The sequence below is a fragment of the Homo sapiens genome, chromosome 13 (assembly GCF_000001405.40).
Source record: "Homo sapiens chromosome 13, GRCh38.p14 Primary Assembly".
NCBI lineage: Eukaryota > Metazoa > Chordata > Mammalia > Primates > Hominidae > Homo > Homo sapiens.
In genome coordinates this window covers 52,905,564-52,906,971 of record NC_000013.11, presented here as the reverse complement: position 1 = coordinate 52,906,971, position 1,408 = coordinate 52,905,564, and the positions used below count along the sequence as shown (strand labels likewise).

The following is a 1,408-nucleotide window of genomic DNA, read 5'->3' as shown; positions in this document are numbered from 1 at the left end:
GAGTTTGAGCAGCTTGTCATGGTCTGTTTTACAAAACTGAGATCTTCTTATACACGCTTTCCTGCACCTTGCTTTTCTCACTTAACTCTTTTTAAGCTGGATGAGAAAGCAGAACCTTCTGACTATTTCCCACTTATCCCCGTTCGGCCCCTAGATTGTGGGGGCTGGCAGGAGACAAACTGCAAGATCACTAGAAGGGGTGCGCCTGTGGCAACACATGCTCTGGGGCTCCGCGTATCCTCGCTGCCAAAGCAGGACTGGCTCCCTCGGCAAAGCAGAAGAGAGATCAACACCAGGACTCCTCAGGCTTCAAAGTGGCTGGGAGTGCGGTTCTTCACGCGTCAGCCTGGCCAGAAGCCCCACTTCCCACGCCCCGCCCCCGTCCCTTCCCTCACCTTCAGCGCTTTGTGTTGCAGCACACACACAACTTCTCCCCATCCCCAAGATTAAGGGAGCATCCAGGAAATTGAAATTCAAGCCCCTAATTGGAAACCTGGCAGGTTTACAGTTGTGACTGGAGTTCTTCACACCAGGTGTACTGAGTTGAAAGGAACAATTATGCAGCGGGTCCAGAGAGGAGCCCTCATTTATCTTGCAAATCGATCACTACCCATTATTTTGCTCACCTCCATTCTCCCATCCCTGCTCCGACCCCTTAGACCCAGACAGCAGTAGTGCCCCTGGCAGGAGCCAGCTGTGTCCCTCAGCTTCACTTGACCTCAGGGAAGCAGTGGAACTACATTCTCCAAAATGTTCCCTGCGCCGGTGTCTGAAGTACCCCCCGGAAATGATGAGGAAATGTTTCCTTCATCCATTTTTAATTGCTGCAGATTATAATTACATTCTTTGGGAAATAAATACTTAACCACCTTCCTTTAGATTTTTTTTCAGGCCCAGGGAGGACTGTGATGTAAAGCTTTCAGTTAATAGCTTAGTTTATTCTGGTGTCATTTCTTTTATTTCCTTTCAGCTTGTTATTTATGGTTTAAATTTTTTGCACCCTGGTGCTTGGCCTGCTTTCCTCAGGAGGATAATTAAGAAAAAGAATTTAGATGTTCAGGCATTTTTTACATTGGGCTGCAGGCAGTAGAAGTGTTCAGGGGAAGAGAGGGAAATGTGAGAGAAAGGAGCAAACACCACTGCAGCCACCACCAAAACCCCACAATAAAATCCATTACTTCCCTAAAATGCATTAAGGTGTTATTCTCGTCATTTGGGAGGGCACAACCCATTATCCTAACACTCAATGGATTCCCCTAGACAAATAGCTAAGTGACAGGACTCTTGCATGTGAATAAATTACCATAGAACTCCTCAGTGACCAAACAGTCCTATAATTGCAATGGGATCGACATTCTCCAAAGTGTGTCTGCCCCACAGCCAACCCGATCTTGCTGCATGTCTATCG

The 1,408-nt window shown here is 47.2% G+C and overlaps 1 annotated feature.

Annotated features, from left to right (window-relative positions):
• Positions 331 to 901: an enhancer, noted in NCBI's record as "NANOG-H3K4me1 hESC enhancer chr13:53480206-53480776 (GRCh37/hg19 assembly coordinates)". NCBI's record gives its function as "activates a minimal SCP1, AML or CMV promoter by ChIP-STARR-seq in primed H9 embryonic stem cells {active_cell/tissue: H9 hESC(primed)}" and the evidence as "EXISTENCE:reporter gene assay evidence [ECO:0000049][PMID:30033119]".